This window comes from Homo sapiens, chromosome 11, assembly GCF_000001405.40.
Source record: "Homo sapiens chromosome 11, GRCh38.p14 Primary Assembly".
Lineage (NCBI taxonomy): Eukaryota > Metazoa > Chordata > Mammalia > Primates > Hominidae > Homo > Homo sapiens.
The window spans coordinates 13827988-13844693 of record NC_000011.10 but is presented as its reverse complement, the minus strand read 5'-3'; the positions used below and the strand labels follow the sequence as shown (position 1 = coordinate 13844693).

Here is a 16706-nt window from a genome sequence, read left to right as displayed (position 1 = left end):
AGAAGAAATGTTCTTGACTCAATTGTGATGGCTCCATACTGTAAACTATTATACAACTGTGAAGATATGGAAATAGAGCTATCTTTATTGCCCATGATATATTTTTATATGAGAAAAGTAGAGTTACCATTATAGTACAATTCAATTTCTATGAAAACAAACACTAACACCAGCTAAAAAATGTCCTAAATATATGTGTGTGTTTGAGCATAAAGGAAATTGTGGCAAGATACGTGGCAGGTTGTCAATGTAAATAATCTCAGGAGGATTGGAAAGGAGAGCACTTGGATGAGGTTTTTAAACCTCTAAAAACATATTTTAGGCTGATTTCATTGCTCATAATCATTGATACTATCAATTTTAATGTAATAAAAGAAAGGCAACACAAAAACAAAACTTTAGAATATTTTAAAGAAAAATAGTAACAAAAATCCTGTAATCTCACCACCCTCACCCTGCCACATGACCCCTCACCTGTCCACAGATGTGTTTTACAGCCGCAATCCCAATGAACTTATCAGCTTTTCACTTACCTTCACATCTTAAATGCTTTTGCTCATCACCCAGTCCTTAAAAAGATTATTTCCTTTATCTTCATCACCTTCCAGAGGGCCAATAAACTTTAATTTATCAAACCACTATTTCAATGTTGATAGCATGATGATCATTACAATACTAGTTGTGTCATCCTAGTTTATGCTTTTAAACATTATTTCTCCTTGAGGCCCCTTTTCTATTATGGCTTTTTGATATATGAACAACATTAGTTTCCTTTTTTATTCTAGTATGATTTAAAAGGTAAATACTTGGTTTTCATATTACTCATTATTAACTTCAGAACTTGCATAAATAGCCCATGTCCTATAACCATCAATTTATATTTGTCTATTGTTGCATAACCTAGAGGTCCTTTTATGGCAGATAAGGAGTTGGACCTTTTTGGATTTTCTTTCTTCCTTTGTGCTTTCTCATTAATCATTAGCTTAATCAGAGAGCTAATCTACCTATTTTATGCCTTTTGTATTCTGCTTTCGTTCCAACCAAATTAAAATAATTATCTTCACTTTTTCCCCTCCTGTTTTATAAGGATGGGGAATAGTAATATATATTAATGTTTACTTGTTGACACATAAGAAACTTCTTCCAATGGTTGTATCTACTAGCTATACAGAATAATAATTATTACCTGTGGTGAGAGGGAGGTGGGAACCAGGAAGATGGTGAGTAGGACTGGGGGATATGCATGTTTCATAGATCTACCTCCCACCCCTCTAGCCATGCATTAATCTCTTCACGATGTATTATCTAGAAAAAATTCCAATGGGCCCATATCAGATAGTTTCGCCTTTCTCTACTTTAACTTACAGTGTCAGAAGACAATGAATTTTATTTTCAAAATTTTTAAAGAAAAAGAGTGATAGGAAATGGCCATGTCCATTCAAGCTACTATTTTTTTCATGAATGTAATGAGATGTGAAATTCTTCAGAAACTTTACAACCCAAATAGTTATTTCATTCAAGTCATTGGAGGGCATTATCTAGAATGACAAAGAATGTTAAAAGGAGAAATTTTGGCTACAGAAATGCATAAATAATGAGCAGTGAAACTATTCTGCATGAAATATAACTACTATTTCAACTACTTATTTTGAAGATAAAAATAACCTAAGTGTGGAAAAGAGTGGTTGCTAAGAGAACAGAGAATAAGTAATACATGAGTAGAAGGGTAAGAAGAGATTTAACACTATAGAAGCTTGTTTCTTATTTACATTAAGTCCAGCAGGCAATGGTGGGGGCAGGAAGCATTCCTGCCATCTCTTAGGTACACCTTGTTTGCAAGTATTATATATATTTTGATTGTATGTGTCTTTTGTTTCACCATTATAATCTACAGTACCCTTTTTACTTTTTTACAGTTTGCTATGATTCTAATCATTGTAGAGCAGGATTTTAAACTATTCTGTTTGTATATTCATAACTGTCAATTCCTTGAGACTGGCCTGCGAGTTTTTTCATTTTCATGCAGGTCATGGGATACAAAGAGAAGCAGGAAAATGGTCTTAGGAAAGAAAGTCATCTCTGTCACTAAAGGATTCACAATCTACAAAAGGAGACAGGCATTTAAACAGATAATTGCAGCAATATAAAAAGCAGCACCAGAGAGAGGTGTATACAATTATGTGGGAATGAAAAGAGGGAGCAATTCACTCCAGCTGGGACTGGGGAAGATGACATTTGACCTTAGCTAAAGATGACCTTACACCCCATAAGGACATGGGATGGGAAACATCCCAAGGAGAAGAAGTGGCATCTGCAAAGATAAGGTGCCTTGATTGGCGAGGGTCTGCTGGAAACGTAGCAAAAATAATGTGTGAGCAAAGAGACTGTGTGTTTTCCTACAAACTCAACTCGAAATGATCTCTAGTTGATTGTTTAGTCCTTCCAGAAACGTGTAATTTTGTGAGTGAATCGATTCAAACTAAGTATGCTTTAAATTCTAAAAAGACTGAAAATCCTTGGGTCTCTAAGTGTAGCTTCAGGATGCTCCCAGAACACACCAACACAATATCAACACCCCAGTGTGCTGATAAGTGGGAGATGGTTTTTCAACTGTCAGAATTGGGATGCAACTGTCAGAGTACATGAAATCAGCCACATAAATATCAGAGGCCCACCCACTCTATGACAGCATAAAACCTCAAACTTTTTATCAAATTAGGAAATAAAAATAAAGGAAGGCTCTGTGTGTGCCATCTCATGGAGGAGCCAACTATGGTCATATCCAGATTTTCTGTACCTCCTTTCCCTAAACATTTGTTTTAATGCCAAAGGTATGACTTCTTTCACTAAACGATATCTGTCCTCTGGGACTGCACTTAGTGTTAGAGTTTTACTTTTTTAAAACAACTAAAAATGTGAAAAAATAATATATTTGAAGCTGGCATTGTATTAAAAGACCAATATTCCCATCAGAGCTTCTATGAGAGAGAACTGCAAGGACTCTGGTTCTGTGATTGGCAATGCCAAGCTAACCTCACTGGGCCTGGGGTGAGCTAATGGAGAGAGAGATCAGATCTTCTGTCCACACCACTGACCTGCCTCCTCCTCTAATGGTAGACCAGGAAACAAGAACGTTGAGGGTGATTCTCTCATGAATAATGCATGATAGCCTGGCTCTTAAGACTGATATTTCTCAGAATGACAATGGGATCAGGTTGTTTTCGACATTTCAATTACATTCAACAAATGCTTATTAAACACTTTGAGCACAGCTGCAAGTCACTGTGCCAGTTCCGTAGCACCTTCTGTGGAGGCTGCTAAGATAAAGACAATTTAGGCTTTGCCTTCAAGAGCTTAAAATCTGAACAGGGAGATAGAACAAGGGAAATGAAACTCTTAATAAAATGCAGAAAATGCAAATGCCATTAGAGAGAGGTACCAACAACTATATGTGGGTGTTGAGGAGAGCCAAGATCACATATGGTTGAGGGGTGCCTGAAAGAGATGTCAGCTAAGTTTGAAGAATGGGACACCAATAGTTTTGAGTGCCAACTGTGTGCCAGACATTAGCACGCAACATCACAATTAATCCTCCCAGCAACCCTACCAAACAGATATTGTCTTTCCCAGTTAACTGATGTATAAAGCAAGGCTCTGCAAGGTTAGGCAAGATGCCCCCAAACCAGCATACATATATCCACACACAGACACTCATGCTCTGGTTTCAGTCCTAAACCTCGAGTCCCCCACATATCTACCTTCCTTCCATTATCTCATTGATCCCAACACCTGTCAGAAAACCCTCTGGTTCCCTCTTGTACAGCAGCACATGGTTACACTACCTGCCTGGACCATGATCTCTGGGCACTGGACTCCATCTTCCAATCTGGTTCCTCATACTTCCTCTCACTTGAATTGGGGTTTATCACCAGGGCCTGCTCCATCTTGTGTGCCTGCCTGTTCACCGCGGTCAAATCCGTCTCATTATCTTCTGCACCCACTTTATGCAGAAGCAAGTGATATGGACAGGAAGAGGCATCTGAAATGAGTGAGGAAGAACCAACTGGGACTTAGAAATAAGCTGAAAAAATGAAATTAAGAAGAATAAGCCAAAGACGATGACTTATTCATTCATTCAACAAAATCCCACACACTTGTCTATGCTCCCGGTTCAAGGTTAGGAGCTATGTTGTGATTTTAAAAAGTATGCATGAGTTTGTTGAGTTTACAGATTAGTTGTAGAGAGGGATGTAAAAACAAATAAACAAGTGAAAATTAGGACCATGTTGGGCCCTTCAGGGACTTTAGGGGAGATAGTGGGTGGATGTAGTGAGGGGAAAGAGTGCTCAGAAAGGTGTCAGAGATGGCAGCAGCCAGATGATGCAAGACCACTCACGTAGACCAGACAAGGAGTTTGGTGCTACATATAATGGGAGGAACCACAGTTAACTCCTATGTCAATTGCAACCCAAATGCAGTTTGTCTCTTGCCCTGAACCCTACAAGTACCACTCCTTTTACTGTGTACTGCCCCGGGGTAGAACTCTGCATTTTTTTCATCTCCTCCTATCTCATGCTCCCCTATGACATTAGTGAGCAAGGTGAACTTGAATGAAGACCCCCCCAAAATGAATGAGGGTGTCCCCATATCTCACATGCCCATTGCCCATTCTAGCCATAAGTTTAATTTTTTGACTGGTATAGTTTGGTTATATTATTTCTTTCCCTCCCCCTTTCTTAGCGGGACTCAGTTCTTATATCCTTTCATCTTAAATTTTCCTTTGAGAATCTCAATTTTCTATCTCCCCTGTTAAGTAACTCAACCCCTGTTCCCACTCTCAAGTTTACATATCGACTCTATTACCCTCTTCTGTAAATAAAGGGTCCTCCACAGGCTTCGCTATCTGCAGAACACACTATAGTGACCATCTTTTGTTATATTAAAATGTCATAAAGGACTCACTTCCCTATCGCCCATCCCACCCCTCTCGTTCCTCCACATCCCATATTGCCTTATTTCTTCCAAAGAAATACGGGCTCTTTCCATGAAGAATTACAACAAAAATATCTCCATCTTATTATAAATTATTTATACATGTGCTCAGAACAAACCACTCTTTTTTTTTCTTTTGAGACTGAGTCTCACTCTATCACCCAGGCTGGAGTGCAGTGGCATGATCTTGGCTCACTGCAACCTCCACCTCCTGGGTTCAAGCAATTCTCCCTGCCTCACCCTCCCGAGTAGCTGGGATTATAGGTGCCTGCCACCGCACCCAGCTAATTTTTGTACGTTTTAGTAGAGATCAGGTTTTGCCATGTTGGCCAGGCTGGTCTCAAACTCCTGACCTCAGGTGATCTGCCCACCTCAGACTCCCAGACTGCTAGGATTACAGGCGTGTGCCACTGTGTCCAGCCCAAACCACTCTTTTAAAGTTATTTTAAAGTTTAAAATGTTTTTCCTATTTCTCAAGTAGTAAAAGAGAACTCATCTGTGGTAGGCAGAATAATTTCCCCCACAAATACAGGAGGTCCAAGTCCTAATTCCCCAAATCTGTGAATATGCTACCTTACATAGCAAAAGCAACTTTGCAGACATTCTCAAAATCTTGAGATGGGGAGAGCAGCCTGAATTTTCCAGGTGGATCCAATATCATCACAAGAGTCTTTATGAGGGAAAGAGAGAGGCAGGAAAGTCAGACTCAGAAGTGAGAGAGCCTCAACTGGCCGCTGCTGGTTTTGAAGACACAAGGAGACTAAGGAACGCAGGAGGCCTTTAGAAGCTGCAAAAGGCAAGGAAACAATTTCCCTCTTCAAGCCTCCAAAAGGAACAACTTAATTTTACTCCAGTGAAGTGCATTTAAGACTTGTGACCTCTAGAATTGTTAAGTGATAAGCTTTTGTTATCCAAGTTTGTCACCAAGTTTGTGACCATTTGTTACAGAACCGTAGGAAACTAATACATCATCTTTGAAGCAAGACTAATTTTTTCTTTGGGAGAGGGAAACATTTCAAGGCAGCAGTTTGGTTCGGAAAAGATAAAGCCTCTTCTGCTGTGTTTGAATGTGGACACATGGAGGAGGCAAGCTATTGTTTATCTGGGCAATAGCTGTCCCAGTGAGGAGTGGGGGTGGTGATGAGGACAGGGAGGAAATGTAGGTGAGGCAGGTAAAGGCTTTCCCACTCCCTCTCCTGGTGGGCCTCAAAGGATGTTGGAGGCCTGAATTTGGACAGAGGGGATGCCTGTGGGAATTCTTGTTTATGTGGGAAGGTAGCCAGAAGGGCCTGCAACGGGCAGCAACAGGAAGCCAAGGGTGAGGGGCTGGCCTCTGCAGGAGCCAGGTCTTATGGTGCTAGAGGTTGAGATGCCCAGGTCCTCATTTAAGATGGACTTCCTATATGTTGAAGCTATTACCCCTAAACCTTTCATTAAGTTTTGTTGAAATTGATAACTTGATCTTAGGAAAGGACCTGTCCCAAGGAGAAGAGAGAGAACCTGGAGAAAAGTTAGAAGGTAGCAAATGATGACCCAGAGGTCAGAAGGCAGCCTTTTGGAGTAAGATGGCACAATAGTCAGGACCCATTTGTGGCTAACAAAAATCATCTTGGGGAAATCGCAAAAATGTTTCTGAAGAAAACCCCCATGATAGGCCAGAATTTCTGCAATCAGCAAGGAGGGAATCTTAAATCATCTCGGTTGGGAATTTAAAGAAAGGGTAACTATAGGGTAGAGAGATTGGGGAAACCCGGGTTATATATATTTTTAGTGTCTTGTTTTAAAAAATAAGCATGGGCTTTTACCCAGAGTTATTTGAATAACTCTGCATCTCAGTTCAGTGTACTAAGGTAGCTCCTAGGCCAGATATGCATTTGTTAATTCATTCAGCACATTTACTCAATGTTGTAAGATAATTAAAACTGACATGATTGAGGCCCCCAGGTATTTTTCATTAACCCTTGTCTCCTCTCTCCTTTTCCCCCTTCTCTCCCTTTTTTCTTTTTGTTGCCTTCTCTTTCTCTGTAACTTTACTAGCAGAAAAGCTGCAAAGTTAAAAAGAAAGAAAAAGGCTCTTGAAAGAACTGTTCTGGGGTTGCACGAATGATCCTGAACAAGAGGCACAGTTCCAAGCTCAAGTTTACTGCAGTTAGTGAAGAAACAGCTACCTGAGCCAAACCACAAGGACACGTACCCCTCTCTTCTCTTCACCCCATAAAACTACAATTGTGCTTTGATTCAGGTGCTGCCTGACTCACATCAGGCTCATAAAGCATTTGACCTCTGTTGAGTCACTTAAACTATTTTTTCCTTGACTGCATCTTCTGTAAGTTAGGCAGTTCAGTGGGTGCCTTATATATACTATCTCATTTAACCTTTACAAAGAACCCTAAAGTAGAAATATAATCCCATTCTTCACATATCAATACTGAGGATTGGGTAGATTGGATAACCTGCCTACAGTCAAATAGTCATTATGTGGGACAGCGCTGGCTTAAACCCTTATCTTCCTGATTCCAATCACAGGTGCAAACAGAGAGGTGGAAGCCAGGAGAAAGTGCACAGTGGTATCAGAAAGCTGAGAGAGAAGGAAAGCGTGACTGCCCCTTTGTACACCAGGCCCTACGTTATCTGCTTTTACACACTGCATTTCATTTAATCCTTACAAGCCAATGAGATGGGCACTGTGATCGCCAGTTTACAAATGAAGGCATGGAGGTTCCAGAGGACAAGTAACTTGTCTGAGTTCACACAGCCAGGTAGGGCTCTTGGTTCCCTCCCTGTCCACTTCCCAGGGATGCTGTGTCACCAACTGCCCTTCCCACATGTACTTTCAATGACTCCTTCTCAACTTGTGGGCAGCTTCCTCTCTTCCCTCAAACTTATGAATTCTCAAAGGAAACGCTTTCTAAACTGTATTCCCTCCCCACCCCCCAAGCTACTTCCTTACCTCCATTCTAGAAAAAAATAAGTTCATATTAACTACCTTCACTTCCTCACCTCCCTCACCACATTTAAGCTGGTTCTGCCCCCAGCCTTTTTCTGAAACCAAGCAAAGGCCACTAGAGATTCCCCAGTGGTCAAATCGAATGATCACTTCTCAGCCTCCATCCTTCCTGAGACTTAGATGGATTTGATAGTGTTTATGTAGCATTAATATATAAAACAAATGGAAGTGGAGCTACTTTGTAGCAGGGAGAAGGCCTGACCCAGCCTGCTCAGCCTCCTGTCTCCTTCTTTCTCCTCCCTCCCTGCAGGACTCCCCGAAGCTCCTCAGAGAAGCCCTGGAGTTCTGAGGAGCAGAGATTGAATGCCACTTTTCTTAGACAGGTTTTTCAGAGAAATCAAACGAAAGAGAGAGAGAAAGATTATTTTTAAGGAATTGGCTCATGAAGTCATGGAGGCTTGCCAAATATCTGGGTACTATGGCCTAGCCAAAATGACACATAAAATTAACTAGCACACCACTCTAGAGACTAAACAGCCCAGGGTTTGACAATAGTCTGACAAGGATTAGATACTTGATGTCCCCAGGTCCATCTCTGTACCCCGAGGAGCGGTAATGGAAGCCAGTGGTTAGATTGAGCCAGGGCTGGGCTCCAGCTGGAAGGGAAGATGAGTAGTTCAAGGGAGTTGACTGATGAACAGAGGAAAAAGATTTAAGGGGCTGACACCACCATGACCTTGGTACTAGGAGCATGGGTGAGAAAATTCTATAGGCAGAATGAACAAAGCTGGTTAGGATTTACCTTCAACCCCAAACCCTTAAAAGAAATGCCAACACATCAAAGTAATTTGCATCCCCTAAGGACTGTGAGCTTGTGGAGGACAGAGACAAGATCAGACTTTTCTTGTCCCCCCAAACCCAGTTCTGAGGTGGAGGTGGACCATTAGGAGAAGCTCCATGAACACATGGTGGGTGGCACAAAATTGAAATCCACCATATATCATGCACATTTTCCTTTCTCAGTGAAGTCACACTCAGCTCTGAGCCCACTGCTCTCACCAGTCCAGGGAGCAGCTAGAGTCGATATTTCTATATTTATATTAGGCATTTCCAACCAGTTGCCATGGATATCTAGAAGGTAAAGCAAAGTATCAACATGGAGTGAAATTCCACTTTGAAAAATCTTATACAACCTGAGGAAACTTTGCTTGTTTGTTGCATAGTTGTTAAAATGTTTAAGTTTTTCACAGCAGATTGTCTGTTTTGTTGTCAGAAGGATAAATAAAGGAAGGAAACTTGTCCTTGGCCTGGGAATTCAGAAAAAAACTGCTGTGTGGTTCTTGCTTTTTTCCTTTTGCAGGTCTCAGCACCTGTCAACTTAACTCACACAAATTCAGAGTGAGGCACTTTTTCTCCATTTTGCAAATTTTATTACAATACAATCTATTTCCTGCCAAATTAGTGCAGTTCTCTTTTTATTAGCTTTTTGTTATGTAGATCTATAGATAATTCTATCGTCCTTGTCTTTATTAAACCGATACCCTCTGCTGGTTTAAATTGGGTCATAAAAATTGTATCACTTTATTTTATGTAGCATAAATATAATGTTGGGTGTTCAGTGTACTGTCAAGTCTTGGTGGTAATGAATAACTGGCTTTCATAGCCTGCTGAGAATGCTGACTCTCCCTCCTACTCTATGGCTGTGGCTGATGCCGAATGATTTTCAAGCTACACCATCTCTGCTTTCCCCTAAGAATCACCTGGTGAGACAATGACCTATTCCATTTTAACCTAATTGTATCAGCTCTCCTCTGGGGGAAAAAAAAATAGAAAGAAAAAGGAAAAATAAATCCACAGCAGTCTCCCTCTTGATTCATAACTCAAATTCCCTTATGGAATTTTTCTTAAGCAGTCAGAAATTGAATGCTTTAAATCTCGAGGAGATGTTTGTCTGTTGGTAAGTGCTCCAGCTGATGGGACCTACTTCAAGTTGCAGTATCCTGTTATGCCTTCTGAGGCCAGCAACCTAATCAGCCGGGGGCAGCTGCCCATTCCCTTAGCCAGGGTCCTGGTGGTCTGAAAGGACTGGGGCCAAGTCATGAGACAGTGCCTCCAGAGGACAAGGTGGGAATGGCAGAAGCCAGGAAATTTAGTGACTCCCAATCTGGAAGACTCCATAGAGGCAAACTGCCCAGGTGAGGCCAGAAATTACAAGAGCTTCGCTCAGCTGGAGTCTTTGGGCAGGGAGCAGACTTTCTCAGGAAGAGAAGCATCCTCATGTTCATCCCTAAGCTGGGGACAGTGGGGACAGAGGGCAGGTGTAGTAGCTCCACCTTCTGAAATAAAAATGGATGTTTGATGGTTACCAGGGCTTTCCTCAGCTACGTATGAGGTGGTCAGAGACTCTAGACCCAAGACCAGAATGATAAAGACCTGCAGGGCTTTTGCTTCTGTCCTCTCACCCTCCCCCTGGTCCCTAGAGACACCTGCAGTGAAATCCTTAAAACACAAAACGTGTGAGTTCTTGTTTGAGAGCAGAGGGGAAGAAGGGAATTGGGAAAACTGTGACCCATAATGCATCCAAGACTAGTGGGGAGAAGACCAGAGCTAGAGGGGGTGATGGAATCTTCATAGGAAAGAAAAGTGGGTAAGTCACTGGGTTTGTGTCAGGAGAAGGAAAAGGAGAGGGTAGAGGCTGGCCAGGCCTGAGAAAGCATCCTGGGGCAGAGCAGTGGAAAGGCCCAGAGCTCCTGGCATGTTACCCGACTGGCAGGATCTAACCAGGGAAGGGGAGCTACCTAGGGCAAGGAGTCCTGCATTCAGATCTCTGTTATTGTTGGCTGTGTAACATAAGCCAGTGTCTTCATCTCCCTGTGCTTTGTAAAATGGATGTGATAGGAATTCTGACCTCTTAATTTGTGGTGATTCCTTGTTCATGGCCACACTATTCACAATAGCAAAGACATGGAATCAGCCTAAATGCCTATCAATGGTAGACTGGTTAAAGAAAATGTAATACATCTATACCATAGAATACTATGCAGCCATGAAAAAAGAATGAGATAATGTCCTTTGCAGGAACATAGTTGGAGCTGGAGGCTGTTATCCTTAACAAACTAACACAGGAACAGAAAACCAAATACTGCATGTTCTCACTTATAATTGGGTGCTAAATGATGAGAACTCATGAACACAAAGAAGTGAACAATAGACACTTGGGCCTACATGAGGGTAGAGGATGGGAGGAGGCAGAAGAGCAAAAAAATAAATAAATAATAACTATTGGGTACTAGGCTTAGTACTGGGGTGATAAAATAATGTGTACAACAAACCCCCATGACACAAGTTTACCTATATAACAAACCTGCATGTGTACCCCTGAATCTAAAATAAAAGTTTAAAAATTGTGATTTTTTTTTCTTTTTTCTCCTTGCCTTGATATAAAAAAATGTTCAGAAAGTTTTAGTTCTCAAAATATATTTGGGGGGGGGGAAAAAACAAAGCATTTGGACTCCCTAGATATAAAGAGTCTACTTGGTCCTGTCTCTTCTCTGAACAGCCTATTCCAAGAACAACGGCAATGTCCTGCCCAGCTGAGACCCCTAAGAGGAAGGTGTCCTGTGGGGTTCATAGCCTATGCTGTTAATTTCTGAGTTAACCTCTGTTTCATGAAGGGCAACTAACTGTGCTATTCCATTTGTCTTTAGACTAGATAAGGTGGCATCTGGATTCTGGAACAACAATGCGTTCCCAGATACTTCGCTGACTTAGAAGGGATTGATTCAGATGGTGATAATGAGGGCAGGCAGCTCCCAGGTGGAGGATCACTCAGGCAGAGCATAAGTGCTCCGGAAAAGTGCAGGGATCTGGCAGGATAGGAAAACAAGGCCTCTTCTCCAGGTTATTGAAATGTTTGTCATTGACTGGGGTGTGTCACACAGGGAAACAAATAAATTCCGGGAATGTGGAGAGGCCAATTGTGGATCAGGCTCACCAAAAGAGGGCATAGTATGGACAATAGACTCCTGATCACATCTCAAATAGCTACTCTCCACGTCCTATCTTTATGCCAGAAGTGAGCCATTCTTGGTTCTCTGGGCAGCGGGGGTGAGGAGTGGTAAAACTTGGTGGGGAAGGAAAGTCCTTATTCATAACCAAAAGATTAAGTGAGTGTTTTAGTGTGGGCTGCTATAACAAAGTGCCATAGACTAGGTGGCTTATAAACAGCAGCAACTTATTTCTCACAGTTCTGGGGAATGGAGAGGCCAGCATGGTGAGGTTCTGGTGAGGTTCTTCTGGGTTGCTGACTGCTAACTTCTTCCATGTCTTCACATGTGGGAAAGGGGTGAGATAACTTTCTGGGGTTCCTTTCATAGGGGTACTAATCCCAGGCATAAAGCCTGTACCCTCACAACCCAATTACTTCCCAAAGGCCACATGTCCTAATACCATCACAGTGCAGTTTAGGATTTCAATATAAGAATGTTGGGGGAAAATAAACATTCAGTACATTATGGTGAGTTCATGCTTGGACAGTTTTTTCCTTGGCCAATTCAGTCACTTCTCTATGAGGTTTTCCCTAACTTTTCTTCCTGTGGTACTCTCCAAAGATGTCTGCCATGAATTACCTCCACATACACCCATGACACTCCACTCATCAAGAAGTGAAATCTATGTCTCCTCTCCTGAATCTAGTGTGGACTTATGACCTGCTTTGACAATAGGATGTGGTTAAAGTGATACTCTGAGATTTCCAAGCCCAGGCCTTAGGAGAACTAGCAGCTCTTAGAAGCCACCTGCCAAAAGAAGTCTGACAACCCCAAGACAGCTGTACTATGAGGAAAGCCAAGTAAGCCAGGTGGAGATACCACATGGAGGGTGAGAGCTGCCTGGCCACTGTCCAGCTCTTCCAGTGAAATCAATAGAAAAATCAACAGCTGTGCAACTAAAGAAGCTATCTTGGATTTTCTGCTTCAGCAGGCAACACACAAAGTAGGAGAGTCTCCCAGCTAAGTCAAGCTCAGGTTACAGAATCCTAAAAAATCATGAATTATTGTTGTCTTAAGCCATGAAGTTTTGGGGTGGCTTGTTACATAGGAACAGACAACTGAAGCACCACCCTATGCCACAGTAAGTCATCACCTCCTCTGTGCTATTTAGGTGCTTTTGTACATACTTTTACAATTGTTGGTTTGCTTGTTAGTCAGCCTTATTCCAACATTCTTAAAAGCAAGGGCAGTGTCTTAAACATCTCTGATTCCCCAAAATAGGAGGTGCTCACTAATTAATTGTTGGGGGAATGACTGGCAAGATGGATGAATGCATGCATGGTGATGAATATAGGAATCCTTTTCCCACAAGGGGACAAAAGGAACAGCTTAGCTTAAAAGAAGAATGACTTCCTACAACCTCTTCCTCTGAAATCTAAGGGAAAATGAAAGAATTTAACACAGAGATAAAGAGAATTTGGAACCTGAGGGCGAATGTGGGAACTGCCTCATATAAATCAGCTTTTATCTCATCTGAGATGAAAGATGTGTAATCATTTATTGAGGATGATGATGGGGCAGCTTGAAGATAGAGACCCAGATAGCAAAGGGTGCTGGGAAAAACATTACAAGGAAGGTCTAAGAATATCTGCAAAGGAGAGAGCTTTTCTGGGAATGTCAGTCTTAACCAAAGGTTACTGAAAGATGCTTCTATAAAGGAGGATCACCTTCCTACCCACAAAGTGTTGTGGGAAGTCAGGGATCCCAAACAGAGGGACCGGCTGAAGCCATGGCAGAAGAACGTGGATTGTGAAGATTTCATGGACATTTATTAGTTCCCCAAGTTAATACTTGTATAATTTCTTATGCCTGTCTTTACTGCAATCTCTAAACATAAATTGTAAAGATTTCATGGACACTTATCACTTCCCCAATCAATACCCTTGTGATTTCCTATGCCTGTCTTTACTTTAATCTCTTAATCCTGTCAGCCGAGGAGGATGTATGTCGCCTCAGGACCATGTGATAATTGTGTTAACTGCACAAATTGTACAGCATGTGTGTTTGAGCAATATGAAATCTGGGCACCTTGAAAACAGAACAGGATAACAGCAATTGTTCAGGGAATAAGAGAGAGAACCTTAAACTCTGACCGCTGGTGAGCCGGATGGAACAGAGCCATATTTCTCTTCTCTCAAAAGCAAATGGGAGAAATATTGCTGAATTCTTTTTCTCAGCAAGGAACATCCCTAAAAAAGAGAATATGCACCTGGAGGTATAGACCTATGAACAGCCCCCCGAGGTGTGCCTGTCTTTTATGGTCGAGACTGCAGGGGTGAAATGGACCCCAGTCTCCTATAGCACTCCCAGGCTTATTAGGAAGAGGAAATTCCCACCTAATAATTTTGGTCAGACTGGTTGCTCTCAAAACCCTGTCTCCTGATAAGATGTTATCAATGACAATGGTGCCCGAAACTTCATTAGCAATTTTAATTTCGCCTCGGTCCTGTGGTCCTGTGATCTCGCCCTGCCTCCACTTGCCTTGTGATATTCTATTACCTTGCAAGGTACTTGATATCTGTGACCCACACCTATTTGCACACTCCCTCCCCTTTTGAAAATCCCTAATAAAAACTTGCTGGTTTTTGTGGCTTGTGGGACATCACGGAACCTACGGACATGTGATGTCTCCCCCAGATGCCCAGCTTTAAAATTTATCTCTTTTGTACTCTGTCCCTTTATTTCTCAAGCTGGCCAATGCTTAAGGAAAATAGAAAAGAACCTACGTGAATATCGGGGCAGGTTCCCCGATAACAAAGAAAGAAATAAATCCAAATAAGTAAATGAAAACTTTTCACCTATTAGATAGACATGGTGTAAATTCAGATTTTAGAGAAACCAGTAGGTTGCCAGAAGGGTGAAACTGGAATAACCAGTTAAGTGAATTCATGATTAAATTTACAAAAATAGTTGTGTGATTTTTTTTTAAGTAGTAAGACTCAACATGCTTGGCAAATTTTGTAGATGAGGTGAGGCATGTACCATCTGTGTAAAATAAATTGTCAGCAAATGCTTTCACACATCCCAGTGTTTAAATGTGTCATGAGATCAAAGGGGGAGATGGTAAGGGCTAGAGATGATTAAAAATAAATCTTTGCAAGTTACTTCAAAAATTTAAAGCAGCAAATGAATAGGAATAACTACTTATTTGGATTATCACAGATTCCTCAAAAACCAAAACTTACATGTAGATGGTAGTAGTTTGTAATCACCACACTCAGAAAAAGAAGCATCATGTTATTTTATTTCTTAAATTTATACTAAGTCTGACTCTTTCTCCACAAGCCAGCCCCTCTTTCCCTTACTCTAGGGTCTTATATAGTTCAGAACATTCTGGAAGGAACAATACTGGTCACAGCTGATATGCCACTTGTGGTTATATGCATGGTCCCTTGAAAGTGGGAAGTTCCATGGATTGTGTGCCTGACTTAAAATCTATTTTATTAATAGAAAATTTGAGGTATAAGAAGGCCAACAGATGAGGAGATGATTACCATAGAAAATACAGTTTATGACATACTGTTTCTAAGAGGAGGGAGCACACCATGTCACAGGGTCACCTGGGATGCACTGAGGATGGTGGGGAGACAGAGGGAGAAGGGAAATTCTGGGCAAGAGCCTCTACTGTTATTTCTGCAGGGAGGAATGGGTAAAGCAGGATAAGCAGACTTAGGATTGGCTAATTCGAATAACGTGGGCTCTGGGGCATAAGGGCTGTCCCTAGTTGTTTGGCACCTGCCCTGGAGTGATTAGGGCAAGAGGAGGGAGAGTGGCCCAGAGTGTGAAGCCCAACAAAGGAAGTGCTGAATGAAATAAATGAAATAATAAATGAAATAAATGAAAGCCTCTTATCTACTAGATAAACCTACTAGATAGACATGGTATAAATTAAGGTTTTAGAGAAATCAGTAGGTTGGCAGAAAGGTAAAATAGAAATAACCAATGAAGTGAAATCATGATTAAAACTTATAAAAATATCTGTATAATTTTTTTGAGTTATAAGACTCAAAGTGTTGGGGTCTGGGCTCTGGACTGGTTGGCTTGTATTTGAAAAGCTCTCTTGTGAATGAGATGTTTAGTATCTCTAGAAATTGACTAAGCATGGGAGGTATGGTCCCTCCAGAGTCAGCAAAGCCCCAGATGTCAGAGCATCAGAATATAAATAATAAAAGCTTTGGTTAATACAGTGCTGGGGTTGGGCCACAGATCTTTGGGGAGGCTGGGGGCCCCACTATAGAAGGTCTAGTCTCCCTAGGAGTTGCCATTTCCTCTTTCCTCTTTCAGAGCTTATCATTTTCCAAGAAACCATCACCTTCCCAGCTTTAGGGACTTTTTCCCTCTCTCAGATCAGCTACTTCAACTTATACCTGTCTGTAGCAATTAGAATGCTTTCCACTACAAGTAGCAAAAGAAACAAAAAACTCAAATTGGCTTTAAAAATAAAAGAAAGCTCTTGCGATAGTTTACTGAGAATGATGGTTTCCAATTTCATCCATGTCCCTACAAAGGACATGAACTCATCATTTTTTATGGCTGCATAGTATTCCATGGTGTGTATGTGCCACATTTTCTTAATCCAGTCTATCATTGTTGGACATTTGGGTTGGTTCCAAGTCTTTGCTATTGTGAATAGTGCCGCAATAAACATACGTGTGCATGTGTCTTTATAGCAGCATGATTTATAGTCCTTTGGGTATATACCCAGTAATGGGATGGCT

The 16706-nt window shown here is 41.4% G+C and overlaps 1 long non-coding RNA gene across 1 annotated transcript in view; it reads right to left on the bottom strand.

Annotated features, from left to right (window-relative positions):
- Positions 1 to 16706, bottom strand: part of LINC02548 (long intergenic non-protein coding RNA 2548) — a 63617-nt gene that overhangs the window by 3309 nt on the left and 43602 nt on the right. The gene's annotated exons all lie outside the window — the stretch shown is intronic.